The sequence below is a fragment of the Homo sapiens genome, chromosome 2, assembly GCF_000001405.40.
Source record: "Homo sapiens chromosome 2, GRCh38.p14 Primary Assembly".
NCBI classification, from domain to species: domain Eukaryota; kingdom Metazoa; phylum Chordata; class Mammalia; order Primates; family Hominidae; genus Homo; species Homo sapiens.
This window is the reverse complement of record NC_000002.12, coordinates 70,808,039-70,835,847: the sequence shown is the minus strand read 5'-3', so window position 1 is coordinate 70,835,847 and position 27,809 is coordinate 70,808,039. Positions and strand designations below refer to the sequence as shown.

The following is a 27,809-nucleotide window of genomic DNA, read 5'->3' as shown; positions in this document are numbered from 1 at the left end:
TAGATAAGAGCCCTTGGAGAGACAGGCAGCCAGAAGCACCTGTGCTCCCAGGATAAGGGTGAGCACTCAGGATGACTGTGGAGAAGGAGGCCCCTGATGCGCACTTCACTGTGGACAAACAGAACATCTCCCTCTGGCCCCGAGGCAAGCCACATCGCTGCTGAGAACCTGCTCCGTGTTCTGTGTGCAAACCTGCCCTTTGCTGCTCCTTCAACACACATTTTCTTCTTCTTCCAACAGAGCCTCCTCCCAAGTCCGGTCCATCTCTGGTCCCGGGGAAAACACCCACAGTCCGTGCTGCATTAATCTGCCTGACGCTGGTCCTGGTCGCCTCCGTCCTGCTGCAGGCCGTCCTTTGTAAGTCCTCATGTTTCATCGTCTGGGCTTAGCCCCTCTCTGTGGCCAGCCGGCTCCCTTCAGATCGAGACCACTTCCCTGCTCTCCGGGTTTCTCCTGCCTGTGGCTTTTTCATTTGTCTCCTTCCTCCTCTTTCCATGTGCAGTAACAGGCTGTGCTGCCCCCAGTACGGTGAGCTGATGCTCTTTCCCTCCCAATTTCTGGGAGATTATTGGGATTAGCATTTGCACATTGGTGCTCAAGGATACATTCTTTTGTCCTCAGGAAACATTGATCTAGTTTTACATCCTGTGCTATTTTCTCCCCGTCCACCCCCCACCAATCTGAGCTCTGCTCCTTGGATCTAGAGCCTTGTGGACAGTCCTTGACAGTGCAATGTCTCCTGACCCTGTGAAGGACCGAGCCTCATGTATCATTGGCCCCAGCTCACCAGATGGAGAGCCTGGCCAACGAGCCAACAGATCTCCATGACTCAGTCCCCTCTCCCCAGGACTCGTTGGTGCTGTCTTCATTCTCCTGTCCCTGTGAAGATCACATCTAGGGAGGCTTCCTGCTCATTTGATGTTGCATGGTTTATCTTTCTTCCTTTTCTGGCTCTGTCAGGCTTCATGGCCTTTGCTGCTGGCAGAGCCTTCTTCCTCCTGCCAGGGCTCCAGGAAGCAGAGCAAAGGGACCCAAGAAGCTGTTGGGTTTTTTTTTCTCCCTCTGTGGCCTCGGGACATATTTGGGCTTAGACTTGTAGGCTCTGAGCAGAGTCCCCCTTGCCCCATCCTAGACCCCTGGCCTCTAACATCGCATTTTCCTCAGGGCTCGCCTTTGAGCCTCTTGGTTTATCTTTGATCCTCTCTCTGGTACCCAGGCCTGGGACCTGAGCAGAATGTGAAAGTGGGTGGGGCAAGGGAAGGGGAGAAACAGTTTTGTAATCTCCTCTTCCATGTTCTCTGGAGAAGCCACTTCCAGATTAGTGGCTGGTTCTTCCCATGGTCACAGAGGGGCCCATGGACAGATGTGGGGGAGTGGTGCTGTCCTAGCAGATGGCCACTGCAGGGGTTTCTGAAAACAGAGGGATGGCAACCAAGGGGTGGGGTCTAGGGGGAATCAAGTTCTGGGGACAGTGGTGGGGCTCATGGAGGGCACCCTTTATCAAATGTTCCCTGAACACTCAGAAAATTCAGGAATGGTTTCTAACTCCTGCTTCTGCTTGCCTGTGAAATCTTTTCACAGAGAGCCTGTGTTTTATCAATCTCCCCATTATCTGTATCCACCTGTGTTCCTGGCACATGGTAGGTGCCCATTGCACGTTTGTTGTACGTTAATGAATGATTGGAGGGTTGGGGTGGCCCATTGGACTGTCTTGGTTCTTTGGGAAGCTTCAGCCTATTCCTTCCCTTCCTTTGATCAACCTGACAACACCCCCACTCCTGTCCCTGGGACTCCCCTCAGCTGACCTCCTGACTTTCTCAATCCCAGATCCCCGGTTTATGGGCACCATATCAGATGTAAAGACCAATGTCCAGTTGCTGAAAGGTCGTGTGGACAACATCAGCACCCTGGATTCTGAAATTAAAAAGAATAGTGACGGCATGGAGGCAGCTGGCGTTCAGATCCAGATGGTGAATGAGAGCCTGGGTTATGTGCGTTCTCAGTTCCTGAAGTTAAAAACCAGTGTGGAGAAGGCCAACGCACAGATCCAGATCTTAACAAGAAGTTGGGAAGAAGTCAGTACCTTAAATGCCCAAATCCCAGAGTTAAAAAGTGATTTGGAGAAAGCCAGTGCTTTAAATACAAAGATCCGGGCACTCCAGGGCAGCTTGGAGAATATGAGCAAGTTGCTCAAACGACAAAGTAAGTGACTCAGAAAATTACATTGAAGCTGACCAGTGGCCCATGGGATCTTACCTGTCCCAGACCTGAGGCCATTGGGCTGGTGGGTTGGGGAGGAGAGTGGGGGCAAAAGAGGGGCAGCCATGGGCTAGGAAGTTAAGGAGAGAGGGCTTGAGGTTGGGGAGGACTTAGGGGCTGTTAGGAGAAAAGAGACCAGGGTCCAGCTAGAGCTCCCACACAAAAGTGCAGAATGTAAAAGCATTAGGGGATGTCCACCCTGGCCCACACCTAGTCATTTCCCATCAAGTTCCTTTCTAGAGTCCAGGGGCTCAGCCACTTGTCATGGCCGATGGAGGGTTGCTTCCTCATCATGGGGAAGACACTCTTTGTCCAACCTCTTGCATTATAACCTCTCCAGTCCCAGAGACTCTATTAGTCTCTGTCTGACTTTCAGGATTTGAAAGAGTGTCCCTAATCTCCTATACAAGGACCCAAGGACACCAGCGCACAGCTCCATTTGCTGCTGTCTCTGAGACCTCATTCAAGTGCCCCCACCAAGCCAGCATCCCAAGAAATCAAGAATACCAGCGTTCACTTTTACCTCTTGTTCTCTAGATGATATTCTACAGGTGGTTTCTCAAGGCTGGAAGTACTTCAAGGGGAACTTCTATTACTTTTCTCTCATTCCAAAGACCTGGTATAGTGCCGAGCAGTTCTGTGTGTCCAGGAATTCACACCTGACCTCGGTGACCTCAGAGAGTGAGCAGGTGAGTGCTGTGCCTATGGGCTCTGTGAAGGGGGCGTATGAGCACTGGGCCAGGGAGGATGGGCAAGATTATACTGCGTGAACAAAAATCCCCAAATATTGATGACCTAATGAAGAAGGATTGGTTCTCAGTAGCATGTCGAATAAGGGCCGGCAAGGGGGCTGTGCTCACTGTGGCTACTCAAGGACCCAGGCCCAAGGAGTCTTCATCTTAATATGTCTCCACAATTGCTGGGGCAGGAAAGGGGAACTTGACATATTGTGCAAAGCTTCTGCCCAGATTTAACATACCTCATTTTTGCTTACATTTCACTAGCTTAAGTTATGTTAATTAAGTTAAGTAAGTTATGCAGTACTCCTGGATTGGGAGGATCCTGGATTCCAGTACTCCTGGAACAGGGCAGAGAGGATCTACTTTCCATGTGCCCAGAAAAAAAGAAATATTTGTGAACAGCCTTAATGATTCCACATGACTCAAGAAGTCTCCTGCCTGGTGAGGCAGAAATTGGGCAGGCCCTTTTCATCTGGGAGGTGGGATAGCAGAGCAGGTCAGAGCCTGGGCTCTGGCGTAGTTCTAGAGCCTGAACCTTGCCATCTAACTAGTCCTAGCAGCTTGGGTGGAATACCCAACTTCACTGGGCAAACTTCACTGGCCCTCACTTGATGAAACATGCATGGTGATGGCACCTGCCTCAGAGGAAAGGAGAGAATGCATATGGACGACTCAGCACAGTGCCGTATGTGGATTCAGGGCTCATTTAATTCAGGTATTATCATATGAACCATTCTCTTGCGGTCCGTGCTCTGGAGTTCAGCTGAGGCCTTCCTGTGCTTCAGCACCTGCTTCCTGAGTGGCAGAAAGGCTTGAGTCCTGAGCTTGTTAGCTGCAGAGCAGGGACACATCATAATCTGGAAGATGAAATCTGGGCTCTGGGCAAGGGCAGGAAGAAGCTTGAGAGGCCAGTTTGTGCAGCGCATCTGTGGGTCAGGGCTGTCACTGAGCGCAGGTGAAGAACACCCAGAGACAGATGATCAAGCTCCAAGTGTGGCCGCACCTCTGCTTATCCTGTCTTTCCTACAGGAGTTTCTGTATAAAACAGCGGGGGGACTCATCTACTGGATTGGCCTGACTAAAGCAGGGATGGAAGGGGACTGGTCCTGGGTGGATGACACGCCATTCAACAAGGTCCAAAGTGTGAGGTAAGCCCCTGGAGCCCTCCGTGCCAGCCTGACTTTCCCCGGCCATGGCCAGGGCATGAAGGGAGTGGGGGCGATGTTCCCCATGAGACAGGGTTTCTGATTCTTCCCTGTCTTAGAGTGACAGGAACATTGCAACCAAGATCGAGCACAACCCTGTCACCAACTGGCTGTGGACCTGAGCCCTCCACGCCCTCTGGGGTTTGGCAACAAGGCCTTCTACCTGGCCAGCTTCAGGGATCTTGTCATGAGTCTAGGTCTTCACAGTGTGGGTTTGTGTAGGGACTTGAAAGTGGTGGGTTGGTTTGGCCTGGACTTGGGGCATGTGAAAGCTTAGAGGTCGAAGTCTCACCAGTCCCCTTCCTCTGAGGCTTGGGTGCAGACATTTGCTATGCCATTCCCTAGGACAAAAGCTTGGGTTGAGTTAACTCATTTCTTCACTGGAAATAAGTTCTTTTTGATTTTCCACTTTGTAAATCCATCTTTTTCCCCGCTCTTGGTAGGTTCTGGATTCCAGGTGAGCCCAACAATGCTGGGAACAATGAACACTGTGGCAATATAAAGGCTCCCTCACTTCAGGCCTGGAATGATGCCCCATGTGACAAAACGTTTCTTTTCATTTGTAAGCGACCCTATGTCCCATCAGAACCGTGACAGGACAGGCTCCCAAGCTCACTCTTTGAGCTCCAACGCTTGTTAAACATGAGGAAATGCCTCTTTCTTCCCCAGACTCCAGGATGACTTTGCACGTTAATTTTTCTTGCTTCAAAATTGTCCCACAGTGGCATTCTGGAGTCCGTCTGTCTTGGCTGGAAATTCTCTGACGTCTTGGAGGCAGCTGGAATGGAAAGGAGAATTCAGGTTAAAGTGGGAGGGGTGGGTAGAGAGGATTTAGAAGTTCCAATTGCCCTGCTAAGGAGGATCAAGACCCGTAATCCGGCATAACACCCTGGGGTTTTCCACTCTTTCAGAGAAACCTCAGCTTCATCACATCAAAGTTACTCCAGAGCAACCAAGCAATTCTCCTGATATTGTCATCCAGGGCTTTTCTTGGCCAAACCCCCTAGAATTTCCATGTCTCTGCTTAGCTGTGCTGGCAGCTAGCAGCTGGCTGTGTTTGCAGTGCAAATAGCTCTGTTCTTGGAAATCCTGCTCATGGTATGTCCCCAGTGGTTTCTTCATCCACATCATCTAAAGCCTGAACCCGTTCTTCTCTGGTTCAAGTCAGTGGCTGACACGGACTTGTATCTCCTTCAGAGCTCGGCTGGCACCCAGCCTCCCTTCTCCTTCCACTCCCTTAGTACACTGGAGTGCCGAGCCCTGCCTTCCACCCAGCGTCCATCCAGCCCCTGTCCTCACCTCTCCGGCACCTCCTCCTCCTTCTGCATTTCCTATCTTCCTGTGTCTTGTGCATGGGAAGCAGCCTTCAGTGCCTTCATGAATTCACCTTCCAGCTTCCTCAGAATAAAATGCTGCCTGGGTCAAGGACTCACTCCAAGTGCACTTTTTCATTTCTGGTTGTCCAGGTGAATATGTGGGAAAGGCAGTCTCCTCTGGTGGACATGAAGTTCTAGGGTATCCTCAGGAAACATCTGGGGAGTCAAAAATAACAAGGACTGGGGAAGTTCCAGTCCTGGAAATGCCACAAAATGTGACCAGTACTTATCTCTAGTTTTTATTAAAGTAGAGCAAGGTCTCCAATGTCACGATCTTGGTGATCTTTCTTCTTGTTTACTGCACAATCTTCTAGTCTATAGCTCAATTCCCAAGAACAAGTCTCAGCAGGTTCCCCACTCTTCACAGAGACCCAGTTCCACAGGCATCAGTTCCAAATCCCAAGTCCAGTGGCTGAAGCTGGAATCCAGGCAGCAGCCACCACAGAGAGGAGAGGAGGGTGGAGTGAGCACAGGTCTTCATTAAGGTCCTCAGGAAAAGATGCTTCCTTAAATAACTGTAACCAGCAGTGTGTTGTTCTGGGTGCAAATGGGTCACAGCTGAGGGCACAGGCTTGTATTGTAAGACCTGAAATACCACGTGCTGCTGTGACATTTTATGCCTCACAGGGCCCCAAAGACCTAACCCTGAGTTCCCTGCCTCTCACCAGATATATCCTTGCCCTCGGTCCCCACCTGGCTAATTTCCTATCATCTGGACCAGCTGCATGCCACCCAGTTTTCTACTTAATGGGTTTCACTTCTCTGCCAGCCTGAGAAACTATTCAAACAAGCCAATCACATCCTCCTACAGGAATCCGGGGCATCTCATCCTTTTATTACTACAAGGCCTGCCTCCCACAGCCCTGGCTGGTTCACTCTGCTCCTGAGGGTGACCCCATGTGGCCCTGTGTGGCTTATGATATCTTTCCCCAGTAGACTGTATTTGTGACTAGTAAACTGCTGCCAGTCTCACCTGCACAGTGTCAAATGTCTTGTTTTGGCCATCTTGTCCTATTTAGAGCAGGGGATCCCTCCCTCACCAATGGAGGAAATGGGAGGTGACAAGAACAAGGCTGGTCGGGGATCTCTGGTTGGTTTTGGCAAAGAGATGAGCTGGGAAAATCAGACCATTTCTCTGGGAAAGAATTTGAACCAGGAAATAGCAAGAGGATGAGGCTGTTAACAAAAGGAAGTTGAGCTGGAAGGCACTGAGTTAAGAGAAAGGCTGGAGGGGCCGTCACGTGGCATTGGAAGAAACTAGCAATGAGCAGAAGCTATGAGGCAGGGGAAAGACATGAATACAGGCCTGGCATGGTGGCTCATGCCTATAATCCCAGCACTTTGGGAGGCTGAAGTGGGTGGGTCACCTGAGGTCAGGAGTTCGAGACAGCCTGGCCAACATGGTGAAACCCCATCTCTACTAAAAATACAAAAATTAGCCGGGCATGGTGGTGGGCACCTGTAATTCCAACTACTTGGGAGACTGAGGCAGGAGAATTGCTTGAATCTGGGAGGCAGAGGTTGCAGTGAGCTGAGATCCCACCACTGCACTCCAGCCTGGGCAACAGGGCAAGACTTTGTTTCAAAAAAAAAGAAGTGACTGCAGAGGATTATAGTTGGCAGAGAAAAGAGAACGGCTCAGAGGAGTCGCAATGGAGGTCCCGGAGGGCAGCCTGAAGGGCTCCGGCTGCTCCCGTTCCCAGGGCTGCCTCAGATCCTCCCAGCCCTTCTGATCCTCCTGGTTTCTGTGCATGGGGACCTTACGAGGCTGTGCTCCTGACCCCAACCATTGCTTTTTCTTGAAACTGAAAGAGCCTGAGTCAGTGAGGATGTGTTTTTATCTGGAGTCTGTGCCCCAGCCTGAACCCAACAAGTGCAGCATTGCCTTGGCTTCCTCCCTTGAGGAAGCTGGGACACCTGTCGCTTTGCTTTGTCTTGTGACTTTGGCTCCCTCCCCCACTGTATGCATGCCTTGCTTCTCCAGGGAGGTCGCTACATGGGCACCTGCCCTTCTGCTGGCAGTGTGGCCTCGCCCAGGAAGTCCCACCATTGATAGTGCTCTAGTCCTGTCTCTAGCAGGTCTTGGGGTGTTATCAATACCTGGGCAGCTCCTCGTATCATGGACCCCACAGTATTTCTTGTGAAATTCTGGGGATTTTTCCATTGTCAGGTGAAAAGTTGGGAGCCAGGGACAGGTGAGAACTTTTTCTCAGTCAACTTGGGTATTTATTGTATTACATTAGTTGTTTTCTTTCTTTTTTTTTCTGATTTGGCAGGCTAACAATGCTTGACATGCCCTCTTTCAATGTTGCAATAAAATACTCTTGAAAAATTTATCCTTTTGTGTTTGAATATAAAAGAAGAGAAAAAAATACTTGAATCACCCCCACTGACCAACTAGTCCTAATGCTCGTGAACATGTACTATATTTTATTTTTCTGTTTTTATGCTTTATTGATCTATCTATCTATTGAATCACTTCATTTTCTCTTTGTCATTCTCTCTCGCTTTCTCTTTCTCTCTCTCCTCTTTTTCTCATATTGTATGAGCTATGCTTTCTTTGCTTTAATTTTCCCAGTGCTTTGGAAGATAAGCCATTATTTGGGTGGGGTGTGTGTGTGTGTGCGCGCACACACGTGTGTAGTTGCCTAGCACTTCCCCTTTTTCTTACAAAGCACCCTGGCTTCTGGGATTATTGGCATTATTCCTGGCATTGTTGCCCTGGTTGGGGCTGGGCCCTGGGCATGGGGGCTGCCATTGGCTCCCTTGGTGACCCCACCTGGCCAGGGCTCCAGGTAGCCCCCAGCAGGGCAATGCGTTGCCTCCCTCACAGATTTCAGGCCCTCCTTTCTCTCTGCCTCTCTGTTCCCATCCCAGACCTCCAAGAACCTCCCCTCCTATCTGTCCCAAGGCAACTTTCTTTTTTTTTTCAGGTCTCAGAATGAATCTCTGTTTTTGGGGGAGAAAACACAGGCTACCCAATTTATGATAAACTCAGTGTGTTTTCAAAAAGGAAACTTTTATTGTTCTGTGGGAGCCTAAAGCGAAAGGATTTCGTAAGGCTTCCTGAGGAAGAGGCACATAAGCTGAGCCTTGAGAGATGAGCAGAATTTAGGCAGAGTGGGATGGGGACACAGACGAGGAAAGAGAGAGAAAACAGAAAATGCAGAGAAGGAGTGTGACAGGCCTGAGGCACCAAGAGAACTCCAGTCTAGCTGGAGTGTGGTGTGAGGTGAAGCAGGGGACAGGCAGCTGTTGGAGGGCCTTCAAAGCCAGAGGAGGGGTTTTGGATTTTATGTGAAGGACAAGGAGGAAACATTGAAGTGTTTTAGGCAGATGAGTGACATCTGTTTTTTACTTAGTGTTGAAGAAGCGTGACAAATGATTTGTTACATTTGAAAGCTTAAATGCTTCCAGGAATAACAAGATCTACAGACATGCAATAGAATTATGTCACTGGAAAACATTTGTCACACTCTTGTGGTTCTTCCTTTATCCTGAACAGCTTCTTGGTTTAGGTATCTTCCTGTATTTTGAGTTCACCTTTTAAAGTTAGAAGCAGAACTAGCACTTACAGCCTTCCTTGCAGAAAAGTGCAGGCATGAGGCTAGATGCTTTGGGAGGCCCTTTGGGAGCCAAGGCAGGAGGATCACTTGAGGCCAGGAGTTGAAGATCTGCTTGGTCAACCCAGTGGGACCCCGTCTCCACAAAAAATACAAAAAAAATTAGCTGGGTGTGGTAGTGCGGACTTGTAATCCTAGCTCTTGGGAGGCTGAGGTGGGAGGATTGCTTGGGCTCAAGAGATTGAGGCTGCAGTGAGCTGTGATCACACCACTGCATTCTAGCCTGGGCTACAGAGCAAGACCCTGTTTTAATTTAATTTAATTTAATTTAATTATTTATTTATTTTTAAAGTGCAGTCATGTGACCCAGGGACCACCGGTCAGATTCAACCATGTGAGACCTTTGATTTGTCCTGGTGTTTTTTCAGAGCTCAGACTAGATTTAGTGCTGCCGTTATTGGAGCATTCCTCCTGCCAGCATAGACTCTAAAGCTTGACTCTGGTCTTCTGAGATTCCATAATTACTACTTATGTCTTTTTTTAATTTTGATTTTTTTGAGACAGGGCCTCCCTTTGCCACTCAGGTTGGAGTACAGTGGCACAATCACAGCTCACTGCAACCTTGAACTCCTGGGTTTAACCAATCCTCCTGCCTTAGCCTCCTGAGTACCTGGAACCTCAGGTGTGCACCACCATGCCCAGCTAATTTTTTTTTAATTTTAGTAGAGATGAGGTCTTGCTATGTTGCCCAGGCTGGCTTCAAACTCCTGAGCTCAGGTGATCCTCCTGCCTCAGCTTCCCAAAGTGCTTAGATTACAGGTGTGAGTTGCCATACCCAGCCATCCCTAATATCTTTTAAATACCTTTTTAGGCTGGGCTCAGTGGCTCATGCCTGTGTTCACAGAGCACAGAACTCAAGGAGAATCACTTGATCACAAGAGTTTGAGGCCAGCCTGGGCAACATAGGGAGACCCTGTCTCTAAAAAAAAAATACAAAACTTAGCCGTGTGTGGTGGCGTGTGCCTGTAGTCCCAGCAAATCAAGAGTCTGAGGTGGGAGAATTGCTTGAACCTGGGAGGTCAAGGCTGCAGTGAGCTGTAATCACGCCACTGTACTCCAGCCTGGGTGATAGAGTGAGACCCTGTCTCAAAAATTTTTTTTAAAAACTTTATATTATAGAATAGTTTCAGCTTTACAGAAAAATTGTGAAGATAATACAGAGAGTTTCTATATACCCACCCTTTCCCATTTCCCCGATTGTTAACATCTTATATTAGTATGGTACATTTGTCACAATTAATGAGCCAATATTTAACTGAAGTCCATACTTTATTCAGATTTCGTTGGTTTTCCCCTAACATCCTTTTTCTCTCCTAGGATCCCATCCAGAATACCACGTTACATTTAGCCATCATGTCTCCTTGGGATCCTCTTGGCTGTGACATTTTCTCAGTCTTTCCTTGTTTTTGAAGACTTTGACAGTTTTGAGGAGCCCACTGGTCAGGTACTTTGTAGATTGTCCCTTAAATGGAATTTGTCTGGTGTTTTTCTCATGATTACATTGGGGTACTGAGTTTCAGGAGGAAGACCATGGAGATAAAGGGCCATTCTCATCACATCCTATGAAGGGTACATACCATCAATAGAATTCATTACTGTTGGCGTTGACCTTGATCTCCAGGCTGGGGTAGTGTTTGCCAAGTTTATTGACTCCAGAATTACTCTTTTCTCCCTTTTCCTGTACTGAACTTTTTGGAAGGAAGTCACTATATGCAGTTCACACTGAAAGAGTAGGAAGTTACACTCTACTTTTCTCAGAATGGGATATTTACATAAAATATTTGGACATTTTCTGCCCTAGAGACTTATCTATTTGTTTACTTACTCAGACATTCATTTATGTCAGTATGGACTCACAGATATTTCTCTTACACTTTGGGTTATAATCCAATACTATTTTATTTGTTTTTTTGTTTTGTTTTTGCTCAAATTGCTCTGGCTTTGGCCATTGGGAGCTCCTTCATTGGTTCCTGTGTCATTTTGACATACTTCCCTCAGTTTTTTTTTTTTTTTTTTTTTTTTGGTAACTAAGCATCTCCTTACTTTCTGGTACTACAAGATGCTCCAGGCTCATCTTGAGTATTTCCTGCCCCAGTTCTAGAGTCAGCCATTTCTCTAATGAGCCCTGGTTTCCTTTTTTTGGAGAATGGTGTTAGAAATCAAAACCTGGGGGCTGTGTGGCTGTTGCTATTTGAACATCATTGCCTCTCCCAGCTGAGAGAGCTAAGTAATATTTGTGTGTACATCTAATTTTTTTTGAAAAGATCATTATGCTTGCACCATGGTGACAGGACTTGAGAGGGGGTAAGAGGAGAGGCAGGGAGAACAGTTAGGAGACGAACGGAATAAAAGCCAGGTGGTTTGCATTCAGGCCTGTAAATGTGTTGAATTGTTGTTGCTGTATTTTGTAGGGTGTAAAATCAGGACACTTTGTACTGCTGAATACAAGTGCTCACATCATGTCAAGAAGCTGTCCCTACTATTAAATAAAATGTCCTGGATTAAAAAACATAAAGAAGAATCCGCCTCTCTCCCTCTCCTGGCTCTGGCTCCCTCTGGTTTGGCTTTAGTCCCACCAAGTAGACTCTTTCTTTCTTTCTTTCTTTCTTTTTTTTTTTTTGGAGTCTTGCTCTGTCACCCAGGCTGGAGTGCAGTGGCACAATCTCGGCTCACTGCCACCTCCGCCTCCCAGGTTCAAATGATTCTCCTGTCTCAGCCTCCCGAGTAGCTGGGATTACAGTCACCTGCCACCATGCCCAGTTAGTTTTTGTATTTTTAATAGAGACAAGGGTTTCATCATGTTGGCCAGACTGGTCTTGAACTCTTGGCCTCAAGTGATCCACCTGCCTCGGCCTCACAAAGTGCTGGTATTGCAGGCATGAGCCACCGTGCCTGGCCAGTTCTTGTATTAATGCCCATTTGTTTTTGTCTGGCCAGAGAACAGAAAGCCTCTCAGTGAAGACATAGCAACCCCCTGGTTTTTCTGCCCTGCTGGTAGATGGTGTTCCTGTGGGAAATAGAAGAGCTAGGGCCCGGAGGGTGGGTGGGGAGGCCAGGGAAGAACTATGCCCCTCTCCTGGCCCAGACTCTGACCTTCCAGTTGGGCAAGGGATCCGTAGAGTTCTGCCTTCGAGGTTCCCTCAGCTCTCAGGCCTCAGGAGGAAATAGGTCCTGAGTAGGTCCAGCCTGGGCCCTTCCTGTGTATGGGGAAACAGAAACCAAGACAAGCCCTTTCTTTTCAGCCACCAGCCCTGGGTGTCTGATGGGCCTCTAGGGAGGCACCTCCAGCAGCTTCCATCCCATTCTATGTGGCGGTGAAGGAGTCTGGCAGACACCACTGGGATCTCAGGCAGCGCTGTTGATAGTCCAGAAATAGGTGCCTTCACCCTTCATTCCTGCTGTGCCCTCCTCTCTAAGGTCAGTTTTCAACAAACAGGAGGTAAAAGGCAGCAAATGGTGGCTCTGCACTCTACACATTGGGCCCCTAACACTGCACAGTTCAACACACACACACACACACACAAACACACACACCCCCACCATCATGAACTGGGTGTGGGCAACCGCTCCCTTCCTGTCTGCAGATCCCCTACCCACGGGGCGACTTGCTTGCCGGGTTGACATCAGCCACGCATGGCACAGGCTCCTCCTGGGCCAAAGCTGTTCTCCTGGCCCGGCCTCAGAGGAGGCACGTTCCGTGTGGCTTCTCCACCTTTGTGGTTGGTCTGCAGTGTTGTTAGTTGGCAGCTGGGGACCTATAAGAGGCTGACCCCAGGATCTGTGCAAAAGACATGAGAATGGGACATAGGAACAGAGGGTGAAAGTAGCAAAGAAACAACACAACATGGATGGAACAAGCCATTTGCAAGGTTGTGAGTTTGTTTAAGAGTTGCTATGATGGTGTAATATGTAATTAGACTTTCCAAAGTGAAAGAAAATGTGATTTATTTCAAAAAGATTGTGACCGTTTGAAGTAATGGAGACAAGAAGGAACCAAAGAACAGGAATCTGCTGGTAACCCCAGCACTGGCTTTTAGAGGGGTTCCTTGACCAGCCATGGGAATATTGGTTCTGTTCAGCTGGTAACCCCTGTGGCAGGGACAGGGACATCACGTTTGCACAGCTCCATGGCACTGTCCACTGGGATGCCTCATGCCTTCTCTTCTAATGCTAGGCCCACCCAGCAGCAGGAACCCCTGAAGCAGTATCTGTTCCTCCTGGAAGGGATAGGGCTCATTGAAAGCCACACATTGGCCCCAGCCTGCTCCATCAGATTCTTTGGAGTTAGTCTTGAGAACCTGGTCACCTCAGGAGGCATGGATCCAATCAGCTAAAGTTGGGGCCTGCTTGGTATTTTCTGACACCACTTCTGACACCAAATGTGTGCTTTTTCCTGACACCAGCCGATTCTCTGACACCCGCTGGGCATCCAACAATTCAAACAGATTCTAACACTAACTTCCAGAGTTAGCACAGATCTCACAGGGTAAGGCCTCAGTCCCACAAGACTGCCCCCCTTCAGATGCTAGCTACAAGTGAGGTAGTGACCCCACTTCTGCCTGGTCAACTACAAATTTGGGGGTTCTGGCTAGGCAAGGTGGCTCATGCCTGTAGTCCCAGCACTTTGGGAGGCTGAGGTGGGAGGATCACTTGAAGCCAGGAGTTCCAGACCAGCCTGGGGTATAAAAAGAGATCCCATCTCTACAAAAAAATAAAAATAAAAAATTAGCCAGGTATGTTGGCACACACCTGTAGTCCCAGTTATGCTGGGGTTATGCTGGATGTGACAGAGGCTGGGATGTTGGGGCTGAGAACTGAGGATCACTTGTGTCCAGGAGTTCAAGGCTGCATTGACTTATGATCGTACCACTGCACTCCAGCCTGAGTGACAGAGGGAGACCCTGTCTCAAACAAAAAATTAGGGGGTTTCTGCAACAACCTCTCAGTTTTCATAATTCACTAGAACAATTCACAGAACTCAGAAAAACACTGTACTTCCTATTCTTTTATTGTAAAGGACAAAAACAGCCTGATGAAGAGGTACACAGGGCAAGGCCCAGTGGGGTCCCAAGTGCAGGAGACTCTGTCTCTGTGGAGTCAGGGCATGACACCCTCCTGGCATGTGGATCACCAATCCCTAAGCTCCTTGAATCTCATTTTTTAAGAGTCGTTATAGCCCAGACCCCAGGCCATCTCCCATACCTGGAGGTCTGGGAGTAGGGAATGGGAGTGGGTGGCTGAAAGTCCCAGTCTTCCAAAGTCTAATCCCATGTTTGGTCTTTCTGGGACCAGCCTCCAGCCTGAAATTATCTAAGGGTCCACCCTGTGTCACCTCATTAGCATAAACCCAAGTGTAGTCCTAAGGGGCTTATTATGAATAACAAAAAACACTCCTGTCACCCAGGAAACTCTAAGCGTTTTAGGAGTTCTGTGTCAGGAACTGAGATGAAGACCAGATATATTTTTTACAGAGTTGTCCCTTGGTATCTGCAGGGGATTTGTTTCAGGACTCCCATGGGTACCAAAGTCCACAGATGCTCAAGTCCCTTGTACAAAATCATGTAGTATTTTTATATAACCTCCGCACATCCTCCTGTATACTATAATTCAGTTGTGAGTCCCCAAGTGGCTGGTCACCCCGCTTCCTCCTTTGACCTGCAAATATCGGCCGCACTGACCTGGCCCCTCTTTTACCTGACTCCTTTTACTTAAGAGGTTCTGAGGCTAGAATTAAAGGTCAGCCATAGTCATAAGGATGTTTTCTGTGCAAAGCTGAGACCCCCTTCCTAGGTGCCAGTCCCAGCCCCCAGAGAAGAAGAGGTGTGTTTGGGGTTATGCTGGATGCGGCAGAGGCTGGGATGATGGGGCTGAGAACTGACGGGAAGGTGCTAATGGGAAGAGGAAGAAAATAGGGCAGATGGGTATCTGGGAGCCTCTAGGGGAGGGGCCCACTGGGGCGGGTTTCTGCAGAGTCAGGCAGGGAGGGAGGAAGAGCTGGGAGGGTGGTCAGGAGCATATAAGTGTGGGTGTCTCAGCTTTGCTTCCACTGCCATTGGTCCACGGGACGGCCCTTCCAGGAGCCAGTGGCTGGGAGCAGTGCTGGAGGATCAAGGAAGCAGAGATGGACGGTGAGGCAGTCCGCTTCTGCACAGATAACCAGTGTGTCTCCCTGCACCCCCAAGGTGAGAAAACTGGGGCCCCAGCTCTTGCCCAGTGAGGGAGTAGCCTGCCTGTCCTTTGGCCCTCTGCCATAAGGCAGCTTATTGCTGTCTTATTGCTCTCCCCAGACCCTTGTCCTTGGGGATGCAGACCTGGCAAGAGAAAGGGGATGAACTTTGAATTCAGATGGTCCTGGCTTGGAATCCCGGCTCTGCACACTGAGCTGGTCCTGTGAGGCCTCCCTCCCTTCCTTTCTTCTTTCATTCAAACTACACTTTTGTTGCTCTGTGCTCTGTGCCAGGTTCTGTGCCCTGTGCACCACCAAAGCCTCCTTGAGATTTGGAGATCGGTGGTCTCGGTCTCAGAGCTCCTCAGCTCTGTGTTGCTACCATATCCACATCTAGCTCTGGTGAACAGCCCAAAGTGTTTTGTCTTCCTTCTCCATAACCACCTGCATGATAAGCATGGCAGGAGTTATCATCCCCATTAGACAACCCAGGAAACAGAATCAGAGAGGCTGTGTCTCAGCCTGCACAGCACCCTCTTACCTTGCACAGCACCCTCTCACCTTGGACACTGCCTTCTCCCCTGCAGAGGTGGACTCTGTGGCAATGGCTCCTGCAGCCCCCAAGATACCGAGGCTCGTTCAGGCTACCCCGGCATTTATGGCTGTGACCTTGGTCTTCTCTCTTGTGACTCTCTTTGTAGTGGGTAAGCCCCCAGGTGACCCAAATCTCACTAACTTTCTCTCCTTTCAGCACAAAGTCCCCAGGGGCCCCAGATGCACACTCTCTGGGCCTCTCTGCTCCCAGAAAGATCATTCCACCTCCAGCTCCAGGCCCAAGCCACAGCTTCCCTGGGAACAGATAAAGGCCACTGTCCAAGGGGGAGCCTCCCAAGAACTGAGGTTCATGAGGGAAACCCTGGGAGGGTCTTTGCTGCTATCTCCCCGGTTCTGGAACTCTACCTCTGTGTGGGACAGCGTATCCTCCCAGGCTCAGGGCTGGGGATTTGCTGACCTGGAAAAATGGAATGTCTCAGTTCAACAGCAGACAAGACCTGTTCCGAAGCCTGTGCAAGCCGTAATTCTGGGAGACAACATTACTGGGCATTTACCTTTTGAACCCAACAGTGAGTAGCCACAGTGGGGGTGGGGTGCAGAGGGAACTGGGGCCTTCAGATGCTCAGACCCTAGGATGAGCTTCTCTCCTGGTACCCTCTGACCACTGAATGGGCTCCACCATCCTCACAGAAAGAGATAATTTTTTAAAAACACAGTTTTATTGAGGTCTAATGGTGTATATATTTAAAGCATACAATCTGTTAAGTTTTGACATATGTGTGTGCCCCTGAAACCATCACCACAATCATCATCACATAGTCATCCTCCTCACCCCAAAGTTTCCTTGTGGCTCTTTGTAATTCCTTCCTCTCCCTTCCTCTCCTCATCCCTGGGCAGCCACAGATCTACTTGCTGTAACTATAGATTAGTTTGCTTTTTCTAGAGTTTTATAGATAAGAGATCATAGAGTATGTACTCTTTGTTCTTTGCTAGTCATGTGATTTGCAAATATTTTTCTCTCAGTCTGTGACTTGTCTTGTCATTCTCCTAACAAGATTTTAATTTTGATAGTCTAATTTATCATTTTATTTCTGTTATGGATTATTCTCATGATCTCGTATGTGAGAAATCTGCCTAATCCAAGGCTACAAAGATGTTCTCCTTTGTTTCTGGAAATTGTACAGTTTTTAGTTTTAGTTTTTGTTTTTGTTTTTTGACGGAGTCTCGCTCTGTCACCCAGGCTGGAGTGCAGTGGCGTGATCTCGGCTCACTGCAAGCTCTGCCTCCCAGGTTCATGCCATTCTCCTGCCTCAGCCTCTGGAGTAGCTAGGACTACAGGCGCCCGCCACCACGCCTGGCTAATTTTTTGTATTTTTAGTAGAGACGGAGTTTCACCGTGTTAGCCAGGATGGTCTCGATCCCCTGACCTCGTGATCTGCCCACCTCAGCCTCCCAAAGTGCTGGGATTACAGGCGTGAGCCACCATGCCCAGCCCGGTTTTTAGTTTTACATTTAGGTCTCTGCCTCATTTGAGTTAATTATTGTATAATGGTGTGAAATTGATTGTTCCAGCACCATTTGTTGAAAAAGTTATCTTTCTCCGTGAATTGCCTTTGCACCTTTGTTGAAATTCGATTGTCCATATGTGTGGGGGTCTACTTCCGTATTCTCCATTCTGTCGCATTGATTTGTTTGTCTATCTTTACAAAGCAGAATCTTTGACTGAACTCCCAGTACCTTGAAAGGTCCCCTCTCTTACCTTAGCACAGTAACTGAGGTCTCACACATCTACATAGGCAGTGCATGAGAAATAGTACATGGATGCTCCAGAAAGGGTCCCTGCCATCTTGGGTTTTTCTCCCTATTCCTGAGGGGAGACTGGAATCAGAAGGGGATCATGGATGTGTGAGATTAGGTCCTAGTTCATGAGGTGAACAAAGGATGCTAGCAGGACCAGAGGTAGATGCATGTGAGGTTGGTGGGAAAGACCTTGCAGATTAAAGGGGCTGTGGGGTCTCCTTCAACGACCCCAGCGCAAGGCCTTTTACTCAGGTTTCCTGTATCCTCAAACTGTTCTGTAGGGACCCTTGCCCTATGTAACACTGGGGGTGCTGGCTCTTTAAAAGGCCATCTCAGCTGAGGTCCAGTGTTAGTTACCTGGAGGGCATGGCATGCCTCTATCATAGCCCTGTTGATTGAACAGGGTACTTCCTCCCAGCACACCTATTTTGTTTTGTTTCTGTTTCTTTCCTTTGTGTTTTCTTCTCCATGGAATTTGCCATCATAAAACTTATGTTTGTGGTGGTTTTTATCAAGTAACAATGGTGAATCAAGAGGCTCTATGCTTGGTGTACAAATATAATGTAGGACTAACCACAGGCTTTATTCATACCTATTTTCTTTCCCATAATGACCCATCTGTGGTGAAATTCCAGTAAAATTAAACTTCAACAGCTCTAAATGATAAAATCAGTTACTTTCAAGTTGAGCAATTATAACGACAAAATAATCCAAGCCTTACCAGCATGACTCCTGGTGGCAGCTGGCTTACAGCAGGCAAGCATTTCAATCCTTCTGACCCCTTCATTTGTGTGTAACAGTGAATTAGATCTTTGTTTCTTGGCCCACATTCTCAGGTGGACCGTCCCCAGGGTCTGGGTGGCTGTGTGACCAGGAGGGTGCTTGGGGGAGCACTGAGGGCTGTGCAGTACCCATTTCCCTTGGAAATGTTAGAAACACTCTGGGTGGCCCATAAAATGCTACCCTACATAATGGGCCTCTTTGGCTGCCTTCTTCACTTCCTCCCTCCAGATCATCACCACTTTGGCAGGGAGGCAGAAATGCGAGAGCTTATCCAGACATTTAAAGGCCACATGGAGAATTCCAGTGCCTGGGTAGTAGAAATCCAGATGTTGAAGTGCAGAGTGGACAATGTCAATTCGCAGCTCCAGGTGCTCGGTGATCATCTGGGAAACACCAATGCTGACATCCAGATGGTAAAAGGAGTTCTAAAGGATGCCACTACATTGAGTTTGCAGACACAGATGTTAAGGAGTTCCCTGGAGGGAACCAATGCTGAGATCCAGAGGCTCAAGGAAGACCTTGAAAAGGCAGATGCTTTAACTTTCCAGACGCTGAATTTCTTAAAAAGCAGTTTAGAAAACACCAGCATTGAGCTCCACGTGCTAAGCAGAGGCTTAGAAAATGCAAACTCTGAAATTCAGATGTTGAATGCCAGTTTGGAAACGGCAAATACCCAGGCTCAGTTAGCCAATAGCAGTTTAAAGAACGCTAATGCTGAGATCTATGTTTTGAGAGGCCATCTAGATAGTGTCAATGACTTGAGGACCCAGAACCAGGTTTTAAGAAATAGTTTGGAAGGAGCCAATGCTGAGATCCAGGGACTAAAGGAAAATTTGCAGAACACAAATGCTTTAAACTCCCAGACCCAGGCCTTTATAAAAAGCAGTTTTGACAACACTAGTGCTGAGATCCAGTTCTTAAGAGGTCATTTGGAAAGAGCTGGTGATGAAATTCACGTGTTAAAAAGGGATTTGAAAATGGTCACAGCCCAGACCCAAAAAGCAAATGGCCGTCTGGACCAGACAGATACTCAGATTCAGGTATTCAAGTCAGAGATGGAAAATGTGAATACCTTAAATGCCCAGATTCAGGTCTTAAATGGTCATATGAAAAATGCCAGCAGAGAGATACAGACCCTAAAACAAGGAATGAAGAATGCTTCAGCCTTAACTTCCCAGACCCAGATGTTAGACAGCAATCTGCAGAAGGCCAGTGCCGAGATCCAGAGGTTAAGAGGGGATCTAGAGAACACCAAAGCTCTAACCATGGAAATCCAGCAGGAGCAGAGTCGCCTGAAGACCCTCCATGTGGTCATTACTTCACAGGAACAGCTACAAAGAACCCAAAGTAAGTGGGAGAGGGGAGTCGCGTTTGGGGAGGGCACAGTCTCTTGAGAGGGTAGAGTCTTCCATCTCATCAGCCTCTTTTTTACTGCAACATGCATCTCCTTGACCAAATCCAGGGAAATGGGCCCAAGGAAACTGGGCAGTTGTAGAGATGGTGTGAGGTGGGAAGTTCCTGCTCTCAAGTTGCTTATAACCTGGTCACGGTGACCAAATGAACACGGGAAACCAACTGTAAATGGTGCACGTGTGTGATAAGGACGGCATGGGCTAGTGGGCCACACAGCCTTATTTCTGACTTCCTGATACCCCAAATGGTATGACCTTGAGCCTGTTACTTACCTTCTCTGAGCTACACTTTTCTCATCTGCAAGGGGGAGACAATAATATTTGCATCACAGTGAGGATCCAATGAGTTCACACATGTAAGGCCTTTAACAAAGTACCTAGCATTCATGCCCTCACCCGATGCTTTATTGAGGCCCAGTGGTGTGCTGGGTAAAAAGGTGAATAAGGTGTGATAGGTACCCTTGAGAAGCTTACAGGCTAGTAGTACAGACTTGCATGAAAGACATACAGACAGGTATAAGGCTGATAGGTTAGAAGCAGGTACTGAGAACTGGGGTTGGGGGCAGAACAAAAAGAAGGGAAAAGGAATCTTCTAGGGGGAGGGAAGAGATCTGTGGGGAAAAGATCAAAAGATGCTTTGTGAGAAGATGGCTCTTGAACTTCATCCTGAAGGATGAGTAGGTGTTTGCCAAGCAAATAGGGTTTGCAGGCATGGAGACACAAAATCATGAGATTCTGGAAACTTCAGGCAGTTCTCTTTGACTGGCCTGTGGACAAGAGGGCAGCTGAGAGACAGAAGGGAGTGTTTGGGGCAGCCACTGAAGAAATGGGGGCTAACAAATGAGGGCTTGGTGGGCAGCAGTGACGTTCCACTTTACTGCTTTGCCCGGTTCCTGGTCTGGGGTCAGAGGCCCCACTTCTTCACACATCTCCTAGTGCCCCAATGTCCTTATTCCTCCCAGCTCTCACTGCTGCTTTAGCTGGGCCCAGTGTTTCTCCACTTTGGGGGCACACTGGAATCGCCCAAGGAGCTTTGAAAATACTGATGCCTGGGGACCCACCTCCAGAACTGTGATTTTTTTTTTTTTTTGGTGAGGGTGTCTGGCATCAGTATTCTTTTTTAAATGCCTAGGTGGATCTACTGGCATCTGGGCTGAGAACTATTAGCTTAATTTTTTTTCTTAAAGGACAAAGAACTAGATATCTTAGGCTTTGGGGCTGTACGATCTCTGTTACAACTACTCAACTCTGTTCGTAATTATAAAGCAAAAGAAAAAGACAGTAAACTAATGAGCATGGCTACGCTCATAATAAAATAAATTTTATTAAAAAGACACTGCTGACAGGCTAGAGTTTGCCAATGGTTGGTTTAGATGACTAGTTCTGGGCATCAGAACCCCCAGAGGGCTTGCTGAAGCAGATTGTTAAAACATAATTTTGGATTCAGTAGGGCTATGGTGGTCCTGAAAATTTGCATTTCTACCACGTTGTCAGGTGATGCTGATGGTCTGGGACCACACTTTTCGAACCCCTGATTTATACCCATCTCTTACTGGGACTTTCGCCATTGTGTTATCATTGGTGTTTCTGTCCTCATTAGGAGTACCTTCTTCTGGTTCAGCTTCCACCAGGTTGACGTTTTTCCAGTGCAAATCTGGACATATTACCATCCTTCTCAAAACCTTGCAGTGCTTCCCATTGCTCATAGGGAAAAAAAAATCCAAACTGTTTCACATGGGATGTACCATTTAGTGCTGGTGAACCTGTCCAAATTCATCACTCACCCATCCTTTATGTCCCAAGAATACCAAGTAGCTTGAATAGATCAGGCTGTGCCCGGCTGTTCCTGACCTTTATGCCTTTGTGCTGATCCTTTTCCCTGCCTGGGGTGCTCTCCTTAACATTGAACACCTGGCAAACTCTTCCTCAGTCCCTTAAGACTCAGCTCCAGACGGGGCACAGTGGCTTACGCCTGTAATCCCAGCACTTTGGGAGGCCAAGGCAGGCAGATCACCTGAGATCAGGAGTTTGAGAGCAGCTTGGCCAACATGGCAAAACCCCATCTCTACTAAAAATACAAAAAAAATATCCGGGCATGGTGGCGGGCACCTGTAATCCCAGCTACTCAGGAGGGTAGGCAGGAGAATCGCTTGAACCCGGGAGGTAGAGGTTGCAGTGAGCCAAGATCGCACCATTGCACTCCAGCCTGGGCATCCATAGCAAAACTCTGTCTCAAAAAAAGAAAGAAAGGAAGAAAGAAAGGAAGGAAGAAAAAGAGAGAGAGCGAAAGAAAGAAAGAAAGAAAGAAAGAAAGAAAGAAAGAAAGAAAGAGAAAGAAAGAGAGAGAAAGAAAAAGAAAGAGAAAGAAAGAAAAAAAGAAAGAAAGAAAAAAAGAAAGAAAGAAAGAAAGAAAGAAAAGAAAGAAAGAAAGAAAAAGAAAGAAAGAGAGACTCAGCTCCAGTAACATCTCATCCAGGGTGTCCTTCCTGAGCCCCACCTCCTGCTCAGATGAAACAGACCATACCTTCTTCCGTGACTATTCTACTGTGCATGTGTTTTTTAGTCAATGCATCTTCAACACCTTTTTTCCATCTGTCTCATTTATTAGGCTCTAAGTTCCTTAAGGGCATCAATCATGTCTGATTGATCTTTGTACAGTATGGCAGTGGCTAGCTGGAAGAAGTTAAGGAACGTTGCACAATGCACGTTGAACAAAAGAACAATTTGGTGATTAATTGAGCTTGTGCGGCACCATTTCAAACAGCTGTGGCATAGATGACGCCAAAGAGCAGGCTGTTGTGGCAGGGAGGGAAGAAAGAGCTGACAGAATTGGGGCTTGTGCTCACAGGATGAGCTATAAGAGTTTGAAAAATGGAAGGCCAGGCAGACCAGGTGATGACCAGGTCCCAGGATGGCCATGGGTGTGGCAGTGCAAGTGGATGGAGATGAAGACAAGGTAATGAGTAAGGCTATGGGATACCTGTAAAATCCCCAGGGAAGATGGCAGGAGTTGGGGTGGAGAGGACTGTCAGGTGATAGCAATGAGTTGGGAGAGAGGGCAGGATAGCCAGGAAGCAGGTATCTGGAAAGAGAGAGCTGCCTGAGCCTCCCAGGAGTGCCCAAGCCAGGCGTCTTGAGGGCTGCTTCCTGGAGTGCTGGGTAGTGAGATGGCAGTGCAGCCCCCCAGGCCTTTCTCCTGGAGCACTGCACATCAAGAATTTCATGGGCTTGTGAACCTCAGTGGGCAGGCCCTAGAGAGGTCAGAAAAGTTCCTTCTGGGACTCCTACCAGCAGCTCCTGGTTCTCTTTTCTCCCCAATCTTTGCTCCAGGTCAGCTTCTCCAGATGGTCCTGCAAGGCTGGAAGTTCAATGGTGGAAGCTTATATTATTTTTCTAGTGTCAAGAAGTCTTGGCATGAGGCTGAGCAGTTCTGCGTGTCCCAGGGAGCCCATCTGGCATCTGTGGCCTCCAAGGAGGAGCAGGTCAGAGCTGCGAGCATGGGGTGTTGTTGGTGGAATTGGTGTGGAATAAGGGACTTTGGTGTTTTGGCCTTCCTGCTCTCAGTGGGTATGACGGAGACCTCCATGTCTCCTCTGCCAGGCAGGGAGCAAATATTGAGTGAGTTCTGATGAGCATATGCACTGGAGGTAGAATCCCTGACAGCAAACCTCCATGTCTTCCATGAATGAGGGAGACACCAGAGGTCAAGAGACATCAGCAGGGAGGAAGGCCAAGGGGAGGTGGCATCAGGTGATGCCCTTAAGTGCTAGGAGCACACTTCCCTTCTCTTGCATTTGTTTTTCTCTCAGGCTTGTTTCCAGTCATCTTTTTTTTGGAGACAGTGTCTCGTTCTGTCATCCAGGCTGGAGTGCAGTAGCCTGATCATGGCTGACTGCAACCTTGACCTCCTTGCTCAAGCGATCCTCCCACCTCAGCCCACTGAGTAGGTCAGCTCCCCAAGTAGCTGTGACTACAGATGCACGACACCATGTCTGGCTAATTTTGGGGAGTATTTTTTTTGTAGAAATGGGGTTTCGCCATGTTGCCAAGGCTGGTCTCAAACTTATGGGCTCAAGTTATTCACCGAAGTGGGCCTCCCAAAGTGCTGGGAGTGAGCCACTGCATCCAGCCTGTCTTGATTTTAATGTCAGTTAATCCAGCTGCTGTAGAGGGCCCATGAATAGGAGACCCAGGCTTCTTGGGAAGACCAGGCACACAACTATGGGTCCGAGGACCACCAAACGCAATACCGTCCCAGGTGGCTCACTGTCGTGGTCCTTATCAGAACTTGCCAGGATTACTAACAAAGAACCACAATGTTTGTGGTCCAATTTGACTTGCAGAACTGCCTACCCCCCTGTTGGCTCGCCTGAGACCACTGTTACTGGCCTGAGAAAGAACATGCAACTTCGTAAAACACATCTTCTTAATAAGCTATGGGAGGTGCTGGCACTATGGTCATGGCAGAGGGGATGGCAGTGCTGAGGCAGAACAGGCAGGGCACCAAGGCACAGGATATCTATAATTGGCCTGATGAATCCTTTGATAAAATGGACAGTACACTAGCTGCTCAACAGTCTATTCAACAGAACATAAGAGCAGATTGCTCCAATATTGACAAAATTCTTGAAGCACCTAAAGGCCAAGATGAAGGTGTATGGAAGTATGACATTTAAGACAATTGTGCCTTGAGCTAATTGGACTTGCTGTCAAACTTCAGCGTGAATGCCATCCAGATACTTGTACTCAAATGACAGCAGCTGAACAATGGATTTTTCTTTGCATAGCTCATAAAACTCCAAAAGAGTGTCGTGCTATAGACTATACTAGACACACACTTGTTGGTGCTGCATGTCTTCTGAATGGCAATAAATATTTTCCCAGCAGGGTTAGCATAAAGGAATCATCTGTAGTGACACCAAAATCAGTATGCCGTAGAATTTACAGAATATTTTCACATGTTTATTTTCATCATTGGCAGATATTTGATGAATATGAAAATGAAACATTTTTGTGCCATTGGTTTATTAAATTTGTGATGAAATATAATTTGATGTCCAAGGATAACCTGATTGTACCAATTTTAGAAGAGGGAGTACAGAATTCAATTTCTGGGGAAAGTGAAGCATGAAGGGAATCAAATGGGAAAATGTACTGATCACATAATTAACATTAATTACGTACTGTATATATCATTTTAGACACATCAATCGTGTATCCATATTATAGCTTCTTTGTTTAGTATAGGTTTTTGTATCCTGTGTTTGCCTTTTAAAATGGGAAATACTTTTTTTTTTTTTTTTTTTTTTTGCGACAGAGTTTCGCTCTATTGCCCAGGCTGGAGTGCAATGGTGCGATCTTGGCTCACTGCAACCTCCGCCTCCCGGGTTCAAGGGATTCTCCTGCCTCAGCTTCCCAAGTAGCTGGGATTACAGGCACCTGCCACCATGCCCAGCTAATTTTTGTATTTTTAGTAGAGACGGGGTTTCACCATGCTGGCCAAGCTGGTCTCGAACTCCCGACCTCAGGTGATCCGCCTGCCTTGGCCTCCCAAAGTGCTGGGATTACAGGCATGAGCCACTGTGCCTGGCCTAAAATGGGAAATACTTTTTAAGTTATTCATAAGCTGTATATTCATCAGTGTGGCACTCATGATTTTTAAATAAGATTAGTATTATCTGTTTATAATGCCTGTTAATGAAAGAATTTACAGTTTGGTAAAATTGCTGCTAAACAATCATTAGATCACAATCCTCATCAAGCAAACCCATCTATTAAAAAAAAAAAAAAGAGTGAGAGCTTGAGGTTTCACACAAGCCATTTACTAAAGAAGTAGAAATGTTTTCCTTTGGTTTTACCCTGAGTTTAGATATCCTAAAAAATTCTATAGTACACAGTTTTGTCTTACCTCTTAACTTTCCCCAAATGAGATAAAAGTGTTTTAAAATTCTGTTTACAGTTTTTGATATGCATATATAATTATGTGTATATCTATAAGCAGGTTCTCCAGGTGGCCTGGAAAACTGGCTCCCCACACACAGGGGCAAACTGACACTGCCTTTTCTCTGCAGGCATTTCTGGTAGAGTTCACAAGTAAAGTGTACTACTGGATCGGTCTCACTGACAGGGGCACAGAGGGCTCCTGGCGCTGGACAGATGGGACACCATTCAACGCCGCCCAGAACAAAGCGTGAGTCTAGCCACCATCTGGCGCTGTCCCAGGCACTGTCTTTGGTGGACCTAGCTACACACTGTGTGTCCCTTCCCAGTAAGTGGTAGTGTTGTGTGTATATGTGTGTGTGACGTGTGTGGTGTGTATGTGGTGTATGTGTGGTGTGTGTGCCATGTATGTGGCATGTGTAATGCATGTGGTGTGCGAGGTGTATGTGTGGTATGTGTGTGATGTGTGTGCGTTTGGACACACAGGTGTGGTCATCGCTCTCACCTGGACTCCTCCACAGAGGGTCATTAGGAAAGGACAGGTCCTGAGGCTGGCATGCAGCCAGTGAGTGGGTCTTTCTGTTTTTTTCCCCCTGCCCTACTCAGGCCTGGTTCCAAGGGATCCTGCCCACTCAGAAAGTATATTATTGTGAATTCTGGGATGGGAGCTTGCAGCTTCATAGACACCCCTCCCTGTCCCTGGATCCTCAGTAACTAAGAGCAACCTGAGCACAGACACCCTCAGGGTACTCCTTCTCCCAGCCCTGTCCTCATCCTAGGGCCACTAGGGGATGAAGGACCCATCTCAAGTCAGCTCCCTAGACTCATCCCATGTCAGCTCCCTAGGAGCCACAGCACCAGGAAGGGATGCTGCCTTCATCTAACAGTATAAAGCCCTGTTGTCTTCGGGTTTTGGGAAAAGAATCAGTCTGACAACTGGCGGCACAAGAATGGGCAGACTGAAGACTGTGTCCAAATTCAGCAGAAGTGGAATGACATGACCTGTGACACCCCCTATCAGTGGGTGTGCAAGAAGCCCATGGGCCAGGGTGTGGCCTGAGGGCAGGCCAGAGCTGAGGGGCTGCTCCTGCTTGCCAATACTGACCCTCCTCCTCGATGCCTTCGGAGCCTCTGAGCTCTGCTTGTTCTCTGGGACCTTCCGTTGGCCTTGTGGACTTCCTGCCTTGTTCTTTGATTCAGCCCTTTCAAACATGCTTACCTCGAGTGACCCAGTGACATCAGTGGCTTCTCAAGGGAAGAGCCTTGCTGTGCCCCTGTAGCCTCAGCACCCAGCACAGGCCTGTCAGACAGCAGGTCCTCAATAAATACTCGCTGGATCAACAAAAGCTTCGTGCTGGCTTTTTCCTTGTGGCGGCCACTACCCTCTCTCCTCCCTGGATTGGTTCTCCTTCCCTCAGCGTTCCTTCTGTCTCAAAACAAGCACACTTTTATTAAGGGCTTTATAGCTAGTAACTTTTTGCTAGTTTGTTGAAAACAGCAGAGGTTGAACACAAACTACAGGGACTTCATAGGGGTACAAAGTCCTAGCAGTCCTAGCTCTGTCGCCCAGGCTGGAGTGCAGTGGTGCCATCTCGGCTCATTGCAACCTCTGTCTCCCGGGTTCAAACAATTTTCCTGCCTCAGCCTCCTGAGTAGCTGGGACTACAGGGACGTGCCACTATGCCTGGCTAATTGTTGTGTTTTTAGTAGAGATGAGGTTTCACCATGTTGGCCAGGCTGTTCTCAAACTCCTGACCTCAGGTGATCTGCCTGCCTCAGCCTGCCGAAGTGCTGGGATTACAGGCACGAGCCACCACGCCCAGCCTATTTTTTTCTTTTTAACAAAATACAAAAAAATTTTTTTTAGAGACAGGGTCTTGCTCTGTCTTCCAGGCTGGAGTACAGTGGAAAGAAGAGTGAAGGGCACATTTTGACTGACTTTGCTTAGTC

At 47.9% G+C, this 27,809-nt stretch overlaps 2 protein-coding genes and 1 pseudogene across 15 annotated transcripts, besides 1 other annotated feature; all 3 read left to right on the top strand.

Annotated features, from left to right (window-relative positions):
- CD207 (CD207 molecule) lies at positions 32-11,718 on the top strand. Of its 3 annotated transcripts, XM_011532875.3 has the most exons (7): positions 32-144; positions 241-357; positions 1,828-2,202; positions 2,797-2,948; positions 4,029-4,147; positions 4,648-4,661; positions 4,927-5,637. In XM_011532875.3, exons 1-7 carry the CDS (start codon positions 72-74, stop codon positions 5,037-5,039), a joined length of 963 nt encoding a protein of 320 aa, XP_011531177.1. In that variant the 5' UTR covers positions 32-71; the 3' UTR covers positions 5,040-5,637. The 3 variants fall into 3 exon arrangements, with proteins under 3 accessions (XP_011531177.1, XP_011531178.1, NP_056532.4); XM_011532876.3 differs by lacking the exons at positions 4,648-4,661; positions 4,927-5,637 and adding an exon at positions 10,521-11,718; NM_015717.5 differs by having other exon boundaries at positions 4,648-5,637.
- Positions 4,136-5,335: an enhancer, noted in NCBI's record as "BRD4-independent group 4 enhancer chr2:71057644-71058843 (GRCh37/hg19 assembly coordinates)". NCBI's record gives its function as "activates an origin of replication core promoter dependent on BRD2, P300/CBP, MED14 and CDK7 cofactors, and independent of BRD4, by STARR-seq in HCT116 cells {active_cell/tissue: HCT116}" and the evidence as "EXISTENCE:reporter gene assay evidence [ECO:0000049][PMID:35650434]".
- CLEC4F (C-type lectin domain family 4 member F) lies at positions 10,613-27,205 on the top strand. 12 transcript variants are annotated; one of them, XM_017003519.1, is made up of 8 exons: positions 10,613-10,647; positions 12,446-12,620; positions 15,281-15,385; positions 15,957-16,493; positions 18,736-19,854; positions 23,250-23,401; positions 25,991-26,109; positions 26,466-27,205. In XM_017003519.1, exons 3-8 carry the CDS (start codon positions 15,325-15,327, stop codon positions 26,575-26,577), a joined length of 2,100 nt encoding a protein of 699 aa, XP_016859008.1. In that variant the 5' UTR covers positions 10,613-10,647; positions 12,446-12,620; positions 15,281-15,324; the 3' UTR covers positions 26,578-27,205. The 12 variants fall into 12 exon arrangements, with proteins under 12 accessions (XP_016859008.1, XP_011530939.1, NP_001308237.1 ...); XM_011532637.2 differs by lacking the exon at positions 10,613-10,647 and having other exon boundaries at positions 12,077-12,620; NM_001321308.2 differs by lacking the exons at positions 10,613-10,647; positions 12,446-12,620 and having other exon boundaries at positions 15,249-15,385; positions 15,957-16,073; positions 16,404-16,493; positions 26,706-27,205.
- On the top strand, positions 24,365-25,211 carry MOB4P1 (MOB4 pseudogene 1; annotated as a pseudogene).
- Positions 27,206-27,809: the final 604 nt, after the last annotated feature.

Excerpts from the sequence above, each read along its gene's own strand:
- CD207 (NM_015717.5), top strand. The coding sequence starts at position 72 with ATGACTGTGGAGAAGGAGGCCCCTGATGCGCACTTCACTGTGGACAAA. Across the intron at positions 358-1,827 it reads CCTGCTGCAGGCCGTCCTTT|ATCCCCGGTTTATGGGCACC; the intron begins GTAAGTCCTCAT and ends TCTCAATCCCAG. Across the intron at positions 2,949-4,028 it reads TGACCTCAGAGAGTGAGCAG|GAGTTTCTGTATAAAACAGC; the intron begins GTGAGTGCTGTG and ends TCTTTCCTACAG.
- CLEC4F (XM_017003519.1), top strand. The coding sequence starts at position 15,325 with ATGGACGGTGAGGCAGTCCGCTTCTGCACAGATAACCAGTGTGTCTCC. Across the intron at positions 19,855-23,249 it reads ACAGCTACAAAGAACCCAAA|GTCAGCTTCTCCAGATGGTC; the intron begins GTAAGTGGGAGA and ends TCTTTGCTCCAG. Across the intron at positions 26,110-26,465 it reads AACGCCGCCCAGAACAAAGC|GCCTGGTTCCAAGGGATCCT; the intron begins GTGAGTCTAGCC and ends TGCCCTACTCAG.